Below are 22,335 nucleotides of genomic sequence, written 5' to 3'. Positions count from 1 at the left end.
GAGGTTGCAGTGAGCTGAGATCGTGTCATTGCACTCTGGCCTGGGCGACACAGCAAGACTCTGTCTCAAAAAAAAAAAAAAAAAAAGGAATAAAAAGAAATTAGAGCATACACTGGCCTAAACTTGAAAACGTGGACTATGATTTTTATTATAATGTAGCTTACGTAGTATGTCAGGTTTCTTTTGTGTTTATATAAGTAGTAATGAAGCACTATTAACATTCTATAACAGGGCTAACAGAGTTTTACCACAACACCCTTCTCGTCCATCTTTGAAGCCAATCTCTATAAAGCTTTTCTGACCATGAAGTCATTGTCTATACCAGGGTGTCGAAACTGTAAGATCACAATTACTCAGCTTGAAAAACAAAAACGGTCACTGTCCCCCATTCTTGGGACTTACCCTACAGACTGATATAAAATATTAAATGTGGAATCCTAGAATCCTTATTTAAAACCGACCAACTACCCATCCATCCAATCAACCACTCAGGCGATCTGAAGATTGGTGAGACTTGGTTATCACTGGTTTATATTACCACCTTAGGCTTAATATACAAAAGTAGGGCTAAAACATGTACTTTCAACAGAAATGCTATCCTTTCCAGATGGGTGAAAATTGGTTTGGGGTAACTAAGAAAAAAAAAAAACTTACGACTTCTATGTAAAAAGTACAAATATACAGCACATAAACTCTATCTGTGGTATTAAAAGTAAGAGGTTTAGAAAAAAATGGCTAGAAAGGCTCCTCAGGAAGGAAAGTGATAACGTTTTGAGAATCACTGGGCTAAAGTAATGAAACTGAACTTTTAATCAATTTATCATAATCCGTGCCCTAAAATGAATGGTGTCTGTACCTATGGAGTAACCTTGGAAAGTCATACTCTTTTTCTATTGATGTTTTTCTATTGATGCTGCCATTGCTCCAAGTATTCTAGCGCCAATTTCTTTAGAGTTTCCTTTAGCCTAGGGACACATTTAAAAAATACTATTAACTTTGAGATAACCAAGTTATCACAGTTAACATCTTGATATTTGTCTATAATGCATACATACATACCTTTTATTAAAAAAAAGGGACCTTTTGGTATGTCCTAATCCATAAATTGCTTTATGTGACAACATGCTGTGGAGTTTTATGTATCAACTAATATTTTTGAATGGTTGAATACTGTTCCATTCTATAAGTTATTTAACTAGTTCCCTAATGCTGGATATTAACTTGTTTCTAATTTTTCACAATTATAAACTAGTATTACAATAGCCATCCTTGTAGATAAACTTTTGCTAAGTTTTAGCTAACTTAATGACACATCTTCATGAGGGTGAATTTGATTTCTGAAAAATTTCAAAACTCATTAGAGTCCAGTCTTATGAAAACGGCTGCCTGTTCAAGTTGGATGATGTAAGTTAAAATTTCTAAATAAAAGTGCCATATGAATGAAAGGCATCAAACTGTTAATTGATAAGTCAAAAAGAGCAAGGGATACAGTTTAGTTTTCTGTAACAGCTAACTAAGAATAAAACGAGAATAAAAACCTTGAATTTTTGAGTCAGATATACTTTGAAGGTGTTGATAATTACAAATTTTTCTCTTAATGTCTTTTGATAAAATTTGTTTTTGGGTCTGGGTGGTAGGAATAGGAAATTAAGATTATACGCACATATCTACACTTGTAGATTTAGCATTCAATGTTTCATGTTTTGGAAACAAAGTTCTAAGATGCACATATGGCTGTGGCATGTGACAAACCCCTATAGCCAGCAAACGGAGGCTGGTGTGCTGAAGAACGTGAATGAGTGAGCGAGGATGGAACAGGAGCTAAGGAAGTGGGCTCAAGTCTTATTTACAAATTCAGAGAGACCAAAGAGTTTTAGTCAAAGGACCTATTTTATATATATGTATACACACACACATATATATATATTTTTTTTTTGTAGAGACAGGGTCTTGCTATGTTGCCCAGGCTGGTCTTGAACTCCTGGCCTCAAGTGATCCCTCTGTCTTGGCCTCCCAAAGTGCTGAGATTACACGCATGAGCCACTGGGCCCAGCCCCTATTATGATACTTAAACATTTAAATACTGTTTAAAAAAGATACACAGGCTGGGTGCAATGGCTCATGCCTGTAATCCCAGCACTTTGAGAGGCATAGGCAGAAGGACTGCTTGAGCTTAAGAGTTCAAGACCAGCCTAGGCAACACAGCAAGACCCCGTATTTAAAACAAACAAACAAAAAAGATACATACACACAGAAAACGGTTTAGAAGAAAATATACCAGGTATTAACACTGAGTGCCTTTAGGTATGTGAGATGTTTTCTTTCCCTTCATTTTGTTTGATTTTACTTTTTAATTTTTCTGTAATGATCATGTCCCTTTAGTCATGAAAACATTTCTTAAAGGAGACACAAAAATTGTTCAGATAAAATTTTAGTTAAAAAGCAGGTGGATGAAAAAGCTAGCACGCTGAATTTCTTAAAGTTAGAAGATAAAAGGAAAAATTAACAAACAAACCTGAAATGGGAGATGTTCAATTTAATGTGAAAAACAAGCACATTTCAAAATATGTTTTATTGGTACCTCCTCTGATGTCACTTTTCCAATCCTATAGTCAGGACAATACAAGGGATTAGCCAAGGCATTCCGGTAAGCTGCTGCATGCAAATTTTCAATGACATCTGTGAGATAAGTGAAGAAGCATTTAGGGAAATGCACTTTCAGTAAAGACAACATTTTTAAAACCTAGAAAGCAACAAGCCTATACAAATTTGGTCATCTTCTGGCATTCATATGTTAAGAGGACTTAAAATTTATTATTATTTAACCTCTAGTAACTGCCAGTTTCTGCCAGTAGAATGTGCTGAGAAAAAAATAAAAAAGATTACATGGCAGCAGCTTCTATATACTGGAGTCCACCTAAACCACTTTTCTAACTTTAACCTAGCTGGTATCACTTGGAAGGTATACTGGCCTGGGTTTTGGGAAGTCCCCATCTAGTTATGGTTCTGCCGCCATCTTGCCATGTGACCTTGGACAAGTCATTTAATCTGAATTTTACTTACTCCTAGGTTTCCTCTCTAGGTAATAAGGAGATTGTCAGGTAGCTTTCAGGGGACCAATGGGAGCTTCCACTGGGACTTACTCCTCTGTGGTGCTTGGTGCTTTCCCTGCTTTCTTGCTTCAATGCCTTTTTGCCTGCAGTATTTCCTTCAGTTGCTCATTACCTGGCAACTTGCCTATGCGAGGCACTGTGCTAGGTGCTAGAAATACAGAGATGTGGAACATACAATGCCTGCCCTCAAATTTTAAGAGGAAAAACTGTGAAATAAAGTATTATGGGTGCAATGTCGGCAGTGTGTCAAAAGTGCAGTAGAGGTACAAGGCAAGGGCAGTGGGAATTGGAAAACAATTAATACAAGTAATATGTGGGATCCATCTTACAGAATGAGCTGGTGTTTCCCAGGGGAAATCATTTGGGAACAGCATTTTAGGCACAGGAAGCAGACAAAACAAAGGCATAAAGTATAACAATAATTTGATTCAAATGGGAATTGCAGCTGGAAGGAGAAGAGGGTAGAGCATAAAGTAAGAGAAGTGGGCTGGGGTAAGATCACGCAAGGCCATATACGTATATGCTGTTTGGACTTTATCCCATAGATAATAAGAAGGCTTACTTTCACGTCAGAAGGATCACTGTAATGGCCGTGTGGGAGATGGACTCAAGACGTAAACCTGGAGGCTGACACCAGCCAGGAGACTACACAGTAACTGTTCAGGCAGAATAGATGCAGGCTGGTGCCTCACTGCCGCCAGTGGGGAAGAAGCCACTCTGGACACATAGGTCATCTTTTCTAAAATTGTACTATTCTATCTATTTCTTCAGTAGAAATCCTGAGCAACAAAGATAATGCTCCTCTGTGACACCAAGCATCATCATGAAATAACATCAGTCCCCAGGCCTGCATGTGGAGGGGAGCCTGTCCCATGCTGAACCACTGAGTTGAGCTATTTCTGCTCTTCCTGCACATTTCTGCTCCCACCAGAAGTTGTATGACTCCCAAGAGTCAGCGGCGCTTGCTTACAGACTTGTATTACCAGTTGTACTTGTCAAGATTATATAATTAGACATTATATAAACATAAAATATGAATGCAAAAAAGATTCCTATTAAAAAAATTAAGTTACTTACTTTGGAAAGACTCAATAAAGAGGAGATGGCTAAACAATAATAGCAATACAATAGTAAGCAATAATAGCAGCAGCAATAAACTGGTGTAGGATTTGGGGTAAGCAAAACAACTCTTAAAAATCACTAGGGGTCAGGCACAGTGGCTCACGCCTGTAATCCCAGCACTTTGGGAAGCTGAGGTGGGAGGATCACTTCAGCCCAGGAGTTCGAGACCAGCCTGGGCAATAGAGTGAGACCTCATCTCTATAAAAAAATAAAAATAAAAATTAGCAGGGTGCGGTGGTGTGTGCCTGTAGTCCCAGCTACTCAGGAGGCTGAGGTAGGAGGATCACCTGAGTCCAGAAGGTTCAGGCTGCAGTGAGATTGTGCCACTGCACTCCAGCCTGGGCAACAAGCAACACCCTGTCTCAAAAACAAACAAACAAACAAACAAAAACAAAACATTGGGAAGGAAACAGGAAAAACTTCTAGGATCTTACAAACAATTTACTTACCATCAAACATGAAAAATGATTATAAATGTTTAGAAACAAAAGAATAATAAATCTAAATAACAAATTTTTGAAAAAGATATTTTCAAATTCAAGGAGTAAAACATTTGGCCAGGCATGGTGGCTCACACCTGTAACACCAGCACTTTGGGAGGCTGAGGTGGGTGGATCACTTGAGGCCAGGAATTCAAGACTGAACTCCAGTCTGACCAACATGGCAAAACCCTGTTTCTACTAAAAATACAAAAAATTAGCCAGGTGTGGTGGTGCACACCTATAATTCCAGCTGCTCAGGAGGCTGAGGCAGGAGAATTGCTTGAACCCGGGAGCTGGAGGTTGCAGTGAGCCAAGATCGTGCCACTGCACTCCAGCCTGGGTGACAGAGTGAGACTCTGTCTCAAAACAATAAATAAATAAAAATAAAAATAAAAATTTTGACAGCAATTTTTTTTCTTCTATAAATTGATCTTCTAAAAAACCCAGTATCTTAGAATCAAATGTGATCTGGAAATGTACTTACGAGTCTGCGGATTCTGAAAGGCCACAGCTTTGTCAATCTTTAGCTGAGGCTGAAGGTCAGCTACTTCCCAACGACGAAATTCTGGTGCTGTGGTGACATTGAGCAGGAACTCCATTAGAATATCACTACAGAAGACATCGAGATAAGAATTATGAGTCAAAAATGTAAAGCCAACATTTGAGATTCTACATAGCTGTAATGCTCTCAATGTGAAACTTTAGGTCTTGTGGTAAGCAGTGTTTTTGAGCAGTTTATGAACAATAATCCAAAATGGAAGTCAGAGGTCATAATGACGCATTACAAAGACCAGAAGTGAGCAGCTTAGTATTTCTTTCAAAGCAGAAGTCCTAAACACACACAGGTACTTACACATCACCCCGCAGGCATTCCACAGTATAAGCCATGTTTTCCCTTGTTGCGGTCACACTGAATCGGAAAATAAACTAGAGTAAATCATCTGAATCAGGATAGTAAGCTTTCCCTTATAATCTTCTATCAACCAATTCCTTTGGAAAGAAAATTTCTGAAGTATAAAAGGTGCGAACAATAATATAACAAAACTCCACATATTAACCAACTAAAATTCAAAATTTTTTTAAAAACCAGCAAATAATTCAACCTTAAAAGGAGTGAAATCTGGTCACATGTTACAACACAGATGAACCCTGAGGACATTATGCTAAGGATAATAAGCCAGTCACAAAGGGACAAATATTGTATGATTCTACTTATGAGGTACCTGGAGTAGTCAAATTTGTAGAGACTGAAAAGAGAATGGCAGTTGCCAAAGGCTGAGGGGAGGGGAGAATGAGCAGCCATTGTTTAACAGGTACAGAATTTCAGGTGGGAGAAGATAGAAAAGTTCCGGAGCTGAATGTTGGTGATGGTTGCTGAATGCCACTTAACTGCACACTTAAGAAAATGATAAATTTGGGCCGGGCGCAGTGGCTCACACCTGTAATCCCAGCACTTTGGGAGGCCGAGGTGGGCGGATCACTTGAGGTCAGGAGTTTGAGACCAGCCTGGCCAACAGGGTGAAACCATGGTCTCTACTGAAAATACAAAAATTAGCCAAGCATGGTGGCGCACGCCTGTAATCCCAGCTACCACGGAGGCTGAGGCAGGAGAATCGCTTGAACCCAAGAGGCGGAGGTTACAGTGAGCCAAGATCATGCCACTGCACTCCAGCCTGGGCGACACAGCGAGACTGTCTAAAATATATATATATATATATATATATATATATATATATATATATAAATTTTATGTTATATACATTTGACCACAATTTTTTAAAATGGCAAATAAAGTTGAAGATCTTTTCGTACCCTTCCAAGACCAATTCCCTCACTCTCTCCCACTCTGGAAACCACAATCATAAGCACTACATAGTATTTTTCTGCTTAAAAAATTAAAATACCTTAAAGAAATCTTGAAACTTGCTTGTTCACACTCTATTTTGCCCTTCAGTTGTGCTATGTTGACGTATGGATCTAGTTCATTCCGTAATGGCTGTATAGTGGTCTCATCATGACTCTGTCATACTTTACCCATTTCCCTAAAGATGGACACTTAGATCGTTTCCAGTCTTTATAAAGAATACCTTTGTGAATGTGATTAAAAACTGTGGGGTTTTTCAATATTACCAGATATTCCTTGATTCTTTCCTAAGTGGTTGTATCAATTTATACTCCTATCAGCAGAATGAGACATTCTCTATCATCTTTACCACTGACAACACAATATATAAAAAATCTGGGCTGGGTGCAGTGGCTCACATCTGCAATCCCAGCATGCTGGGCTGAGGTGAGAGGATCACCTGAGGCCAGGAGTTCAAGACCAGTCTGGGCAACATAGTGAGACCTCCATTTGTACAAAAAATAAAAAATTAGCCAGGCATGGAGTCATGTGCCTATAGTCCTAGCTACTTGGGAAGCGGAGGGAGAAGAATCGCTTGGGCCCAGGAGTTCAAGGCTGCAATAAGGTATGTCTGCACCACTCCACTCCAGCCTGGGAAACAGAGCAAGACCCTGTCTTTAATATAAATTAATTAAAAAAAAAGAAATGCTGTTTCTGTCCTGAGTGTTCCACTGACCAGCTGCTCCCCAAGTCTTTCTCCCTCTCTTTGGATATTCCTACTCCTGAGACACAACAATATTGAAATTAAGCTAATGAATAACCCGACAATGGCCCCTAAGTATACAAGTGAAAGGAAGAGTCTCATGTCTCTCACTTTAAATCAGAAGCTAGAAAGGATTAAGCTTCTAAGGAAGTCAGGAAGGCATGTTAAAAACGGATACAGGTCAAAAGCTAGGCCTCTTGCACCAGTGCAGTTCTTGAAGAAAACTAATAGTGCTACTCCACTGAACACATAAATGATATGAAAGCAAGACAGACTTATTGCTGATAATACAGAGTTTTACTGGTCTGGATTAGATCAAACTGTATTCCCTTAAGTCAAAGCTTAATCCAGAGCAATGCCCTAACTCTCTTCAATTATATGAAGGCTGAGAGAGGTGAGATGCAGAAGAAAAGTCTGAAGCTAGCCGTGGTTAGTTCATGAGCTTTAAGGAAAGAAGCCATCTTCTTAATATAATAGTACACAGTGAAGCAGCAAATGCTAATATAGAAGCTGCAGCACGTTATCCAGAAGATCTACATAAGATCATCGATGAAGGTGGCTACACTAAACCACAGATTTTCAATGCTGACAAAACAGCCTTACATTGGAAGATGCCGTCCAGGACATTCGTAGCTAGAGAAGTCAATGCCTGGCGTCAAAGCTTCAAACGACAAGCTGACTCTTGTTGGGGACTAATGCAGCTGGTGACTTTAGGATGAGGTCATTTACCATTCTCAAAATCCTAGAGCCCTTAGGAATTATGCTAAATCTACTCTGCCTATGCTCTGTAAATGAACAAAAAAGCCTGGATGATAGTACATCTGTTTATAGCATGGTTGACTGAATATTTTAAGCCCATTGCTCAGAAAAAAGATTCCTTTCAAATTATTACTGCAACAATGCCAAGAGCTCTGATGCAGATGTACAAGGAGATTGACACTGTTTTCATGCCTGCTAATAGAACATCCCTTCTGCACCCCATGGATCAAGGAGTAATTTTTATTTTCAAGTCTTATTATTTAAGAAATACATTTTGTAAGGCTACAGCTACCACAGATAGTGAAGACGCTGATGGATCTGGGCAAAGTAAATTAAAAAACTTTCTGGAAAGAATTCACCATTCTAGACACCATTAAGAACATTTGTGACTCATGGGAGGATGTCAAAGTATCAACATTAACGTGAGTTTGGAAGAAGCCAATTCCAACCCTTATGGATGACTCTGAGAGGCAAGACTTCAGAGGGGGAAGAAACTGCAACTATGGTGGGAGTAGCAAGAGAACTAGAAGTGGGGCCTGAAGATGTGACTGAATGGCTGCAATCTTATGATAAAGCTTGAACAGATGAGGAGATGCTTCTTATGGATGAGCAAACAAAGTGGTTTCTTGAGATAGAATCTGCTCCTGGTTGAAGATGCTGTGAACACTGTCGAAATGATAAAAAAGAATATTACATAATCTTGGTTGATAAAAAAGTGGTAAGGTTTGAGATGACTGACTAATTTTGAAAGAAGTTCTGTGGGTAAACGGCTAAAAACAACATCTCATGCTACAGAGAAGTCTTTCACAAAAGGAAGAGTCAATCAATGCAGCAAACTTCACTGTTGTCTGATTTTAAGAAATTATCAGTCACCACCACCTTCAGCAACCACCACCTTGATCAGTCATCAGCCATTAACGTGGAGGCAAGACCCTCCACCAGCAAAGATTATGACTTGCTGAAGATTCAGATAACTGTTAACATTTTTAAAGCAATAAAATATTTTAAAATTAAGGTTATGTACTTTTTTTCCAAGACAAAATGTCATTGTACACTTAGTAGACCACAGTATAGTGTAAACATAACTTTTATATGCACTGGGAAACCACAAAATTCCTATGACTTGCTTTGCTGCAATATTCCCTTCATTGTGGTGGTCTGGAACAGAACCTGCAACATCTCTGAGGTATGCCTATATATTGCAGATATCTACTCCCAGACAGTTACTTAAATTTTTACTTTAAGACATAAAGATGTTTTACAGTTTGATATACTCAAATTCATCAGTCTTTTCCTTCTTATGTTGCTTAAGAAATCCTCAACCTCCTTGATAACAGAGAAAAGTTCCCTTAAAATTGAATATTTTCTGGCATTTTCACTATTTTCTATTACTTATTTAACAAACCTTAATTTGCCACCAACTGCTTCAATTCCACGGGTTATCTTGAAAGATGAAGCTCCTTTTGTCGTCTTGAAAAAGAAAGAATGATTATCTTTGTAGCTTTTCAATGCCAAGTTTGCCAAACATCACACTATATCAAAATCTGTTGTGAGCAGATTTAAAAAGAATTTTACTAAATTCCTGCATCCTTTTTAGTTAAGAATTATAAAACAAGGCTCAACAAAAAGCTTAAGTATACATTTTTACATTAAGTACATTCATGTAAAATTTCCACTGTCAAATACAAGCTTACTGGATTCATTAGTCTATTCTGAAAGAGACTTGTATATGGGAAAAAAAGAGTTAATTTTCTTTCAATTTGCGGCACTTCCTGTTAAAAATTTGTTTACTGATTTCTTATGCTCTAACATCAACATTCATATGGATACTAATTTAGTGCTTCTCTGTGGCAAATATCTTGTGGTTTCTCATTTTACATTAGGGGACAGTACTGGGTTTAACAGTGTTCCCCCCCAAATTTATGTCCAGCCAGAATATTTGCATGTTACTTTATTTGGTAATAAGGTCTCTGCAGATTTAAGTACTTAAGATGACATCATATTGAATTATAGTGGGCACTAAATCTAATGTAACTGGTATCCTTATCAGGAGGAAATGTGGACACAGACAGAAGGAAGGCCATGTGACAACAAAGGCAGAGACTGCAGTGATGCAGTTGCAGGTCAAGGAACATGAAGGGTTGTGGGCAACTGCTGGAAGCTAGGAACAGGCAGGGGAGGATTTGTGCCTTCCTAGAACCTTTAGAGGGATCACAGCCCTGCTGATATCTTGGCTTGGCTTAGACACCTTGACTTGGACTTCTAGCCTCTAGAACTGTAACAGGATAAACTTATTTGGTTTAAGCTACCCAGTCCGTGGTAATTTGTTATGGCAGGTCAAGGAATCAAAATATAAAGACATTGATCTTAGTTTTTCTTTTTCACAGGACCAAGATACCACAGCATTTCCAAACACTTGAGGAAGTGAAGATACTCACCAGACTGGATGTAAGACGCAGCAAATGGGTGGTTCCTAAATTGCTGAAGTCCTCATATCTACTGCCTGCTTTAATGAACAAACCAATTCTTGATACAGGAGAATAGTTTTCCAAAGAAGCAATCACCAAGCCATTTGGTAACTTGGTAAACTGTATTTAAAATAAAGTAGAGATATAATGAATGTCTTCGTATTACCAAGGAGAGTAAGGCATGTATAGCTTCCAGCGAGCAAGTTAGTGGGACTAACCTCAAGGTCCTGAGGTTGTGGCGGTGCTCCTGCAGGCGCAGCTGTGGCTTTAACTTTGGGGGCAACTTTGAGGGAATAAAATCTCTAAACATAAAAAACACAGGTTACACGTATTTCTCACAAGAACAGTGCTTTATATAAAAGCATGGTATCTTAGGGTACCCAAGCGACAGAGGGTGTTCGGGGGTGGAAGGAGCAATAACCACCTCCATGGGAGGATTTACCTGCATAACATTTTTTTTTTTTTTTTGAGACAGAGTGTCTCTCTGTCGCTCAGGCTGGAGTGCAGTGGCGCAATCTCAGCTCACTGCAACCTCTACCTCCTGGGTTCAAGCCATTCTCCTGCCTTAGCCTCCCAAATAGCTGGAATTACAGGTGCGTGCCACCATGTCCAGCTAGTTTTTGTTTTGTATTTTTTAGTAGAGATGGGGTTTCACTGTGTTGGCCAAGCTGGTCTTGAACTCCTGATCTTAAGTGATCTGCCCACCTTGGTCTCCCAAAGTGTTGGAATTACAGGCGTGAGCCACTGCACCCCGCCTAGCTGCATAACTTATTATGGACTTACTAACCCACCAGTTTACCCAAGCCATTCTTAAACCTCTATTTATTAGTGATTTATAGAGTTCTTGATGCTTATTTTTTAAATGATGTAAAGAATCACTGTATTTTCTTATCTTTCAGTTACCTTATAAAAGTTTCATGGTTCTGTGTAGTTCTAAAGCTTTGGCATTTTTTGAAAAAGTGTCAGATCACCCCATCCACAACCTTTTTTGTTGAGTTGGAGTCGTGCTCTGTGTCCCACGCTGGAGTGCAACAGTGCGATCTCGGGTCATTGCAATGTCTGCCTCCTGGATTCAAGCGATTCTCCTGTCTCAGCCTCCCAAGTAGCTGGGATTACAGGTACATGCTGCCACGCCTGGCTAATTTTTTGTATTTTAGTAGAGATGGCGTTTCACCCCATAGCTCAGGCTGGTCTCAAACTCCTGAGCTCAGGCAATCCACCCGCCTCGGCCTCACAAAGTGCTAGAATTACAGGTGGGAGCCACCACACCTGGCCTGTGTCCACAACCTTTTATAGGTTTCAGCTTCTTGCTTCTTTTATCTGCCCAATGAATGTCATCCGTTCAGTCTAATTTCCAATTGAAATGGTTTCATCTCCTTAATCATCTTAGTAACCTTTAAAAAAGACAAACTAGCCGGGTGCGGTGGCTCACGCCTGTAATCCCAGCACTTTGGGAGGCCAAGGTGGGCGGATCACCTGAGGTCAGGAGCTCGAGACTAGCCTGACAAACATGGAGAAACCCCATCTCTAATAAAAACACAAAATAAGCGGGGCGTGGTGATGCATGCCTGTAATCCCAGCTACTGGGGAGGCTGAGGCAGGAGAATCACTTGAATCCGGGAGGCGGAGGTTGCAGTGAGCCGAGATTGTGCCATTGCAGTCTAGCCTGGGCAACAAGAGCAAAACTCCGTCTCAAGAAAAAAAAAAGAAAAAGACAAAGTATATACCAACTTCCTCCAAGCCCTCAATATTTTCCATTGTATCTTCACTCTTGTGTGCTGTATTAAGACCACACAACCAAAGGTCTTAGTTTTTTTGACTAAATAAAACATTTATGACATGTATGTCATCCTGAGATTAATAATGGCTTCATCCACATCAGATTCTCAATATATAAAATGCAGTTACTGGTAGGGTGAAAGGGTCCCATTAAATATTAGATAATGGACCCAAAATGCATTCATTTTATTCAGTTTGTTTTGGCAAATGTTATACAATGCCATACAAATCATTCTGATTATGACTAAAGTTCATGAGGTTATTAGAGGAGATGATGAGTGAATAAAATTTGGTGCTCCCAAGACCCAATGAACACCTCCTCACTGGAGTTTCCCGGACATCCCTGCACAGTCTGCAATGCCTCCACTCTGTGCTGTCCAGAAGGCTGTTTGTTGTACATCATTAGTGCTGTACTAGGTTGGCTGCTGGTTATCACTTGCTTTTAGTACTGCTTTTCAGTTATGAATTACAATTAGCTTTACTTTATCGTCATCAATTTAGTTTGCTGGGTATGGTATAGTTAACCTTCTTTGTAATTTTGGCCTATAATTTTCCAAAAAGTAAACTTTTAAGATATATGGGCATAGCAATTCAAATATGAATAATCTATAATTCCGTTACCAAGTGAGATTTTAGGTGTTTTCCAACCAAATGTGCCCAAATAGTAACTCTTTGTTGGTAATTTTTTTTTTTTTTTTTTTTTGAGACGGAGTCTCGCTCTGTCGTCTAGGCTGGAGTGCAGCGGTGCGATCTCGGCTCACTGCAACCTCCGCCTCCTGGGTTCAAGAGATTCTCCTGCCTCAGCCTCCTGAGTAGCTGGGATTAGAGGCGCCCACCACCACCACGCCCGGCTATTTTTTTTTTTTTTGTATTTTTAGTAGAGACGGGGTTTCACCATGATGGCCAGACTGGTTTCGAACTCCTCATCTCAAGTGATCCGCCTGCCTCTGACTCCCAAAGTGCTAGGATTACAGGTGTGAGCCATCGCGCTCCGCCGGTAATGTGCTTCTTAATCGTCCCATTCAAATCAGCAAATTATCCTAGTAACTGTCATGCAATCTTCTAAATTATTTTGTTCTAATAACAAGATATATCTAAGTTTATTCTCCTATATAAAGTGCTAAAATTAGACACATAAATAATTGCTTTCAAGTTTACTGCAATTTGTTTACTTTGGGCCTCTCCAACTGTTTTCTCTGAGCTTTTTCTGTTGCAAAATAGAATGGAGAAGGAAATGTTGGGGTCTTTTGCCAATCTAACCGTGCTTCCCTCCAAGGGTAATCACTGGTGTGTCTAGGTATACCTGGAAGGTTAATGCAATTACAGCCTAAATCGATATAGCCCACAGCACATTTATGTAAACATAAAGCATAAGAACATTCCATGCCCAGGTCTGGTCTTCTGCATCTCCATCTAGGGGGGTTTCTCAACACAGGTACTACTACTGGCACTTGGGGCTAGATAATTCTTTGCTGTAAGGCGAAGTTTAGCAGCATCCCTGGCCTCTCCATGCCAATAGCACCCTCCTTACAAGTTGTTGCAACTAAATATGTCTCCAAACATCGCCACCGGTTCCCTGGGGGCATTCTGTCCCTCGCTATGATTTTTTAAGTGTTCCCCCTTACCCCTCTTAATAACCACTGTCCCACAGTGATATAACCCTGATGTGTGAGTTTTCCCCAAGTGACAGCTATGTTTAATTTAGGCTTGAAGGGGAAACTTAATTAAGGAGCTTTTGAGGACAAACAGAGACGTCTTGGAGGAACCGTCTAACATACGATCAAGAAAAGCAACGTTAGACTACTAAGACACCATAGTATTTAACAATGAAGTTCCAGGTACTGTAATAAGTGTTCTATCTGCATTAGCTCCTTTCTTATACTTTTATTCGCTGGGGAAACTGACGCTCCGTGATAAACCAAGGAGCAGAGGCTGCAGCGGATAAAGTGAAGGTGGGGGGCTAAGTGCGCCGTCCTCCCGCTCCCCCTGGGTTTCACGGTCTCTTTCTCCAGCACTTGAGTACCGGAGTGACCTTCAGAAGTCTCTCCAAGGACTCGCTTCAACTCCGCTCTCACGTCCTGCCCCTCTCTTCAGGTTTCCCGGTGTTAGGTCTCTTGTGCTCACAGCATGAGCTGGGCCTCCAAAGCCTGACCCAGTCTGCAGCCCACTTGGCCCGCAGGGTTCAGCTGAAGGGCAGACCGAATCCCAAGGCCCAGACCCCAGACCAGACACCTCCGCCTCGTATCACCTTGTCGACACACTGCTCCCCAGCCCTTTCCCAAACCCGCCACCTGAGCTCACCGAGAAAGAGCCGGCTCTGGTTAGTAGCTTCATGATTCAAGATTGTTCTGACACACGGTCACTGCCGGATTAAAGGAAAGCAAGATGGTGGCGGAGGCCGGGAGTTTCCCAGCGTTCCCCGCTAACACTTTCCCACGTCCCCTTCGTGAGGTACTCTCTATACTGCCGCGCTCTACTGCTCTCTTTATAAGGTTGGACCAGTCCAATTCCTCCAAGACTCAGAATAGGGAGACGCACAATTTCCCAAGTAAATATATGCAGAGAATAATGTACGTCACTGCTTTTTGCGTTCTTCTCCTAGCCTGAATATCCAGTATGCACCCCTTTTCTAAGTACGTCTGCAGCAGCCTGTCACAACTCCCCCCGCTATCTTGGGCTCTTCCGCTCAGCATTGTCCAATGGGACGCGCCTCTCTTGGGACTCCGCATGCGCCCTCCGGGATGACACCTGCACTGGAGGCCCTGGGTTTCCGCGTTCCTGGACGTTGGAGGCTTCAGGAGATTCCTGCCACTCCACCTTTCTGCAGAGGTATTGGGTATCGAAGCCCGGCGTAGTTGCCTCTCGCTGGGTGAAGTCCTTACTGGATCTTTAGCTCCGTGAAACAGGGGCCTCGTTCAACGTATTCGCCGCTGTGTCCCCCAGAGCAGGCCCGGGACACACCGGGAGGGTCAGCAACCTCGGGGAATCATCACAAGGCTTTTGGTCTCGTGGAATTTACGTCCTAGGCTGGGGCTACATAGAATATAAAAACTTAGCTATAGTTTTTGTGTTAGGAAAATAGAAATGTTTTGGATAGTAGGTGTGTTATGTGAGCCGAAACCGGCAGTTGGAGAAAGTCAGTCACGTGACGACTTGGGGCGGGGGCGTTCACTCCGGTCCTCAGCGAGTGTTAACCCAGAAAGTGCCTTGAGCTAGGCACTATGCCAACGCGAGAGGCGTGGTCCCTGCCCTTTAGGGACTTTAGAGTTTCGTACCTTGCTACGTTGCTTGGTTGGGAAACCGACAGTATCAGCATCAATATCATTTAGGAGTTGATTAGAAATGTATGAACTCCAGGTCCCATATTGGATCCGAATCGGTGTTTTTACAAGATCCTGGGATGACTTCGTATGCACAATAGTTTCAGAAAGGCTGGTGGTGTAGACGTTACAAGGCATAGGCAAATGTACTTTCTTTTTGCCTTGTGTCTGAATTGCTCCAGGCCTACAACGGACTTGGGCTCTCTAATTAAGATCTGGGCATTAAGAACCTGGCACCAACCCAATTTCTGTGCCTGCTGGGGACGCCCTCAACCCAATTCATACCACACAGTTTCCCCACATGTGGTAGATTTAACACTAGTGGTGCGTGAGATGATTTTAAGTTGGTACATAGATGAACACTTCCATTTTTTCCTTTTAAAAATTTGTATAAATTTAAGGGGCGCAAGTACAGTTATGTTATATGGATATATTGCAGTAATGGTGAAGTCTGGGCTTTTAGTGTACCCATCACCCGAATAATGTACATGGTACCCATTAAGTACTTTCTCATCGTTCACCTCTCTCCCACCCCTCCACCTTTCGGAGTCTCCATTGTCTGTCATTCCACACTCTATGTCCATGTGTACACCTTATTTAGCACTGTTCCATTTTAATAATATATTTATTTTGATTATGGCAAGCAATGCTAGTAGTGAATTTCCTCTTTAAGTACATTTATAAAATAATAAAAGTTGGTGTAAAAACGTTAAGTAACTTGATGATACGGAGATACAGCAAAAATCATGAATGTGTTATACAGGTACCATTGAGTGAAATCTGGGAAGCAGTGCTCTGATCAAGCCACCTGCCTGCTTAAAATTCTTCAACGACAGCCACGTTTTTCAGGATAAAATTCAAATTCATTAACATGGCATACAAAGCTGTCTCCAGTACTTCAAAACCCCAATTCCCAAGTTAGCTAGCTGCACCCCTGAGTCCAATCATTGTAACTTCATCATTCAACAGTTCAGGTCAGGTAGGAGGAACACAAAAGTCTCCACACTCAAGTGCACACACACACACACACACACACACACCCACACCTGCTTATAATGTCCTCTCATTCTTAGGTTATGACCCAATATCAGAAAGGGGCAAAAATAAATTCTGTTCAAAATGTGGCAGGATTTGAAACATAATTCATGATATCAGCTACATAAATCATAAAATCCCAAGTTTGTCAATTGCAAAATGTCCTATTAAGCATTAAGCTACAAATTAGGAGTGCCATCTTGTGGACACATCCACCACTTCCACATCATGTCACCTCCTAGCCAACTCCGTGGCTGTTCTCACTGTGGAGGTCTCTGCCACAACTCCAGCATTTTATTGCAGAAGAAAACCCAGTCCTTGAACTGGTTTCTGCGTAGAACACACTGAAAGCCCTGGGAGAGGAAACCAGCAGACAGGAAAAGAGTAGACATGGAAGAGCAGATGAGTTCATTGCTGGAAAGCTCGAATTGTTAGTTTCGTTAATGTGGGGTCCAATTTGACTCTATGGAGCCTAACTACCTAGCCTGAGCGCTCGCGGTGAGTATGGGGTGGGAGAATGTAAAGAGAAAGCAGGCAACAGTAGGAGTAAAACACACCAGAGGAAGGTGATGTGGGTTTATACTTGGGAACAACATTACCTTGCCATCTTAGGGCCAGAGGCATTAATCATGGCTTCCCCAATGCATAATTTCGATGTTGGCATTTCCTTCCCCATTCCTTTCAGAATCCTACCCTGTCAGGTATTATCTCTGATGAAATATTCCCTGGGCCAGGCACAGTGGCTCATGCCTGTAATCCCAGCACTATGGGAGGCCAAGGTGGGTGGATCACCTGAGGTCAGGAGTTCAAGACCAGCCTGGCCAACGTGGCAAAACCCTGTCTCTACTGAAAAAAAAATACAAAAATTAGCCGGGCATGGTGGCAGTTGACTGAAATCTTAGATACTCGGGAGGCTGAGGCAGGGAGAATTGCTTGAACCTGGGAGGCGGAAGTTGCAGTGAGCCGAGATCACTGCCATTGTACTCCAGCCTAGGCGACACAGCGAGACTCTGTCTCGGGGGGGAAAAAAAAGTTCATATCAATTTCTAATATTCTATAATTATTGTTTTTGGTCACATATACTTTTTCCATGTATTGAGGTGAACAGATTGGTCTTATTCTGTGTTAAGTTATATTGATTGATTCAAATTATAAATAAACCTTTCATTCCTGTTATAAACCCAACTTGGTCTGGATGTTTTATTCTTTTAATATATTGCTAGACCTAATTTGCTACTTATTTGTTTAGGATTTGTGCATTTATGTTCCAGAGTGATACTGGCTTTAACTTTCACTTTCATTCCCCCCATTCATGCATTTTTCTGTCATAGATAAAATGAGTTAGGAAGTGTGAAAGGAAAAAAAATCTCAGGGCCTCCAAATCACTAAGCCAAAGGGAAAATTCAAGCTGGGAATGATGTCAGACAAACCTGCCTCCCGTTTTATTCCTAAATAAGATAGCTATAAGGATAAAAAGCTACATAACTTACCTTACAATTTGCCCACAGGGCAATTCCATGTGGATCTGAGGATCTTTACCCTAAAACAGTTTTGTTGAATTTCACCCTGGCAATGTAAATTGATAGCTGTCTTCCTTCCTTCCTTTCCTTTTCTTCCTTTCCTTTCTCTCTCTCTCTCTGTCTCTCTTTCTCTGTTTCTCTCTCTCCCTCCCTTCCTCCCTCCCTCCTCCCTCTTTTTTTTTTTTTTTTTTTTTTTTTTGGAGAGTTTCACTCTTGTTGCCCAGGCTGGAGTGGAATGGCATGATCTGAGCTCACTACAACCTCCACCTCCTGGTTTCAAGCAGATTTTCCCACCTCAGCCTCCTGAGTAGCTGAGATTACAGGCATGTGCCATGATGCCTGGCTAATTTTGCATTTTTAGTAGAGACAGGGTTTCACTATGTTGGCCAGGCTGGTCTCGAACTCCTGACCTCAGGTGATGCACCCACCTCGGCCTCCCAAAGTGCTGGGATTACAGGTGTGAGCCACCGCACCAGGCCTGATAGCTTATTTTCACAGGTGCAGGACAAAGGACAGAACTCAAAGTCCATCTTAAACAAATGTGTATCTGATGGCTTCCTCTGCCCTATTGTTTACATTGTATTATGTAAAAAAAATGAAGATTCTCTGAGCCAGACAATGACATAAGTGAGTATTCCTCTGCCCATCCTCTCACATGTAAATTGTATATTCAGTGAAAGGCTGATCAAAGACTCAAGGGGATGCAACCCTTTGTCTCTTGTATACCCACACATTTTTAAATTTTTTCTTTTTTTTTTTTTTTTTTTGAGACGGTCTTGATCTGTCACTCACGCTTGAGTGCTTCCAGTACTTCCTGGGCTCAAGTAGTCCTCCCACTTCAGTCTCCTGAGTAGCTGGGACCACAGGCATATGCCACCACATCTGGCTAATTTTTGTATTTTTGATAGAGATGGGGTTTTGCCATGTTGCTCAGGCTGGTCTCAAACTCCTGACCTCAGGCAGTCCACTGGACTGGCCTCCCAAAGAGCTGGAATTAAGATTTCAAATTTTCTTCCTTTTCACCCATATCAATCCTTTCTCCTTAAATATTGAAGCCCTTGAAATCATCTTTGGAGAAAGGCATAGACATACCTCTCAGGCGCTTATCCTTAACCTTGGCAATGGAAACTTTCCACATTGATTGAGACCTGTCTCAGATACTTTTGGTTCACAGAAGTAAACGTCTTTTCCCAGCTTTCGTATATTTTGCGTGCTCCCTTTGATTCTGTCAGGCTTTTATTTTATTCTTTATTAGGGTGGGTCTATTTAGGTTTTTGATCTTATTCTAGGACATGATCTTTACTTCTAAGGCATGGCTTTTCTGGAGTTATAACTGTAAGGGGTGCTCAGTAAGGTATCTCTACTGTGGCTCTCAGTAAGAATTCCGACATTTTCTGCACTATGTAAACTCTGGGTCTACCTTTGTTACAGGTAGTTAGACAGGTATGAGCGGGACAGGAGAGGGCTCTCCCCCCATCCACCAGGAATGTCGGGTGATGATTTGGCAGTTATCACATTGCCTCTCTAAGTGATAAATTGGGCCAGGCGCGGTGGCTCAGACCTGCAATCCCAACACTTTGGGAGGCCAAGGCGGGCGGATCACCTGAGGTCGGGAGTTTGAGACCAGCCTGAACAACATGGAGAAACCCCATCTCTACTAAAGATACAAAATTAGCCAGGGATGGTGGCGGGTGCCTGTAATCCCAGCTACTCGGGAGGCTAAGGCAGGAGAATCACTTGAACCCAGGAGGCGGAGGTTTGGGTGAGCCGAGATCGCGCCACTGCACTCCAGCCTGGGCAACAAGAGCGAAATTCTGCCTCAAAAAAAAAAAAAAAAAGATAAATTGGAGAGGCCATTTCCTGATAGTCCACACCCGTTGCACTAAATTAACAGTGTTAATTGAATGCAGACACCAGGGAGAAGCAACTTCCTGGGCATGTGCATTAAGAGACAAAATGGCGGAGTATGACTTTCCAGGGTTACTCCACCAGAATAGGGAAGAAAGTCTCAGATGGGCATGGGTACAACTTCTTAAACACGCTGCGCATGCTCACCTCCAACGGGTGAGGGGGGTACCAGGCATGCGGGCAGCCCACCCTAAGGGAAGAATCATGAGAAAGGGGCCAGCCTATAAAGATTACTGTTAAACAGAGCGCTTGACCTCAGTGCCTGGTTGGGTCTCTTCCAAGCATACTTTCCTTTCCTTTTTTATCCTGTTCTAAAGCCTTTTAAATAAACTTCCACTCCTGCTCTGAAACTTGCCTTGGTCTCTTTTTCTGCCTTATGCCCCTCTGTTGATTTCTTTCTTCTGAGGAGGCAAGAATTGAGGTAGCTGCAGATGTACACAGATTCACCGCCAGTAACTCAGATATCGTCCACCGGTAACACATTCAGTTCTCAGTCTAGCAGGTGCCATTCTCTGATAGGCCTCACAGCATCTCTCCCTTTGCACATGGCACAGGCCAGCTCATGACTCACAGCAAACCCCATTCAAATTTCTGGGCCCCCGCTTCGTCTTTATCATCACCCTGCTCTTCAAATTCTAGCTGCTTTAGCAATCCTAAACTCCCTCTTAATTGATCCCTTTTGAGGTTCAGAAGCTACAGTTCAAAAAAACCTAAGATTTATTGTTCCATTTCTGCAAAAGGACGACGTGAAGCTACATTGATCTGCCTTACTACTCGTATCTGAAACCTAGTAGAACATTAGACAGTTTCGTAATTAGGTAATTGTGGGAAAAGGAGCATAGGTGGAGCTATGGGCTTCATTTCAAACAGCAGGGACAAAAGAAAGCACCTCAACATTAGCAGCATCAACAAAAAGTGCAGCAGCATAATGACTCACCTGTAGGTGTTGATAAGCTCATCAGCATGAGGCTCCAGTTCAAGTGAATTCAACCATTTCTTCACATACAGTTGAATCTGGGGCTTAGGGACTCCCCATAATCTGGCATACATGATCATTATTTCCTGAGCAGTCATATATTCTAGCAAGACATCAAATTCAGGACAATAACCAATTCTTGACCTTAACCTAATTACAAGAATTGCATTAAGTAAAGACCCAAGTCATCTATCCCACTAGACAACCATGGATAAGATGGCAAACCTGCAGTCTTCCAGGCCATACTTTTAAGAGTCCTACCAAGATATTTTTTTTCTAAAGGGCTACAAAATTATAGCTGTCAGATCTATTGTAGGACATTGGAATAGTAGGCTCCATAATTCAGTTTTAATGATCTTGGGGATAAAGAAGTTAGAAATGAAATTCCACAGCCTACTCATTTTGGAGGAGTACTAGATTATGACATGGTCTTCTCATTAATCAAGAACTCCAGGGGGAATGGCCGCCATGGAGGTATTTGCACTGTTAAACCTGTACAACATCTTGTCCATATAAAGGCTGAACCAGAACCAAAGCCTTTCCCCACCCTGCCAACCTGGAGACTGCAATGAGTATTGTTTTAGCAATTAGTCAAACACCTCTGTTGATTTACACTCAGGTGAGCATAGCCTATGAACCAGAGAAAGAGCTATATTCTATTATTATTATTATTATTATTTTTGAGACAGAGTTTCACTCTTGTTGCCCAGGCTGGAGTGCAATGGCACGATCTCAGCTCACCACAACCTCTGCCTCCCAGGTTCAAGCAATTCTCCTGCCTCAGCCTCCCTAGTAGCTGGGATTACAGGCATGTGCCACTACGCCTGGCTAATTCTGTATTTTTAGCAGAGACGGGGTTTCTCCATGTTGGTCAGGCTGGTCTCGAACTCCCGAACTCAGGTGATCCACCCGCCTCAACCTCCCAAAGTGCTGGGATTACAAGCATGAGCCACCGCGCCCGGCTCAATTTTGTTTTAATTGGAGACTTCGTATGCTCCTAGACACTTCATAGAAACAAACTCAAATTCCCTCTTTATCTAACAACAACAAAAAAAAGAACAGTAAGCATCTGGTGGGTGTCACTTTATAATAAACAATATCCAATTAAGGATTTGAAAACATTGAACAAGCCACCCCAAAATAGAGCACCTTTATAGACTCTCTTCATCTTGCAATTCTGCAAGAACCATCCTAGTTGTCTATGAATCCTGAAAAGGTGATTAGATTTCTCATATTATTTATGGGGG

The 22,335-nt window shown here is 41.6% G+C and overlaps 2 protein-coding genes across 3 annotated transcripts in view, besides 4 other annotated features; one reads left to right on the top strand and one right to left on the bottom strand.

Moving 5' to 3' along the window:
* Positions 1 to 10,547, top strand: part of PDZD9 (PDZ domain containing 9) — a 43,577-nt gene extending 33,030 nt beyond the window's left edge. For both annotated transcript variants that reach the window (XM_017023109.2, XM_047433888.1), the window contains exon 4: positions 10,470 to 10,547. In XM_017023109.2, coding sequence (XP_016878598.1) covers positions 10,470 to 10,502 — 33 coding nt within the window. In that variant the 3' untranslated portion in view covers positions 10,503 to 10,547. The remainder of the gene's footprint in view (positions 1 to 10,469) is intronic.
* UQCRC2 (ubiquinol-cytochrome c reductase core protein 2) overlaps positions 1 to 14,726 on the bottom strand; it is a 30,300-nt gene extending 15,574 nt beyond the window's left edge. Inside the window, exons 1-7 of the mRNA NM_003366.4 lie at positions 14,631 to 14,726; positions 10,769 to 10,852; positions 10,521 to 10,670; positions 9,488 to 9,552; positions 5,571 to 5,627; positions 5,202 to 5,326; positions 2,582 to 2,679 (exon numbers count right to left, since the gene is read on the bottom strand). Of these exons, the coding sequence (NP_003357.2) occupies positions 2,582 to 2,679; positions 5,202 to 5,326; positions 5,571 to 5,627; positions 9,488 to 9,552; positions 10,521 to 10,670; positions 10,769 to 10,852; positions 14,631 to 14,663 (612 nt within the window). The 5' untranslated portion in view covers positions 14,664 to 14,726. The remainder of the gene's footprint in view (positions 1 to 2,581; positions 2,680 to 5,201; positions 5,327 to 5,570; positions 5,628 to 9,487; positions 9,553 to 10,520; positions 10,671 to 10,768; positions 10,853 to 14,630) is intronic.
* Positions 14,128 to 14,845: an enhancer, noted in NCBI's record as "H3K27ac hESC enhancer chr16:21964563-21965280 (GRCh37/hg19 assembly coordinates)". NCBI's record gives its function as "activates a minimal SCP1, AML or CMV promoter by ChIP-STARR-seq in naive H9 embryonic stem cells {active_cell/tissue: H9 hESC(naive)}" and the evidence as "EXISTENCE:reporter gene assay evidence [ECO:0000049][PMID:30033119]".
* Positions 14,384 to 14,433: an enhancer, noted in NCBI's record as "active region_10564". NCBI's record gives its function as "activates an Ori minimal core promoter by ATAC-STARR-seq in GM12878 lymphoblastoid cells {active_cell/tissue: GM12878}" and the evidence as "EXISTENCE:reporter gene assay evidence [ECO:0000049][PMID:35858748]".
* Positions 14,444 to 14,613: an enhancer, noted in NCBI's record as "active region_10563". NCBI's record gives its function as "activates an Ori minimal core promoter by ATAC-STARR-seq in GM12878 lymphoblastoid cells {active_cell/tissue: GM12878}" and the evidence as "EXISTENCE:reporter gene assay evidence [ECO:0000049][PMID:35858748]".
* Positions 14,934 to 15,393: an enhancer, noted in NCBI's record as "active region_10562". NCBI's record gives its function as "activates an Ori minimal core promoter by ATAC-STARR-seq in GM12878 lymphoblastoid cells {active_cell/tissue: GM12878}" and the evidence as "EXISTENCE:reporter gene assay evidence [ECO:0000049][PMID:35858748]".

This window comes from Homo sapiens, chromosome 16 (genome assembly GCF_000001405.40).
Source record: "Homo sapiens chromosome 16, GRCh38.p14 Primary Assembly".
Lineage (NCBI taxonomy): Eukaryota > Metazoa > Chordata > Mammalia > Primates > Hominidae > Homo > Homo sapiens.
The sequence above is the reverse complement of the archived record's forward strand: the minus strand, read 5'-3'. Positions and strand labels throughout refer to the sequence as shown.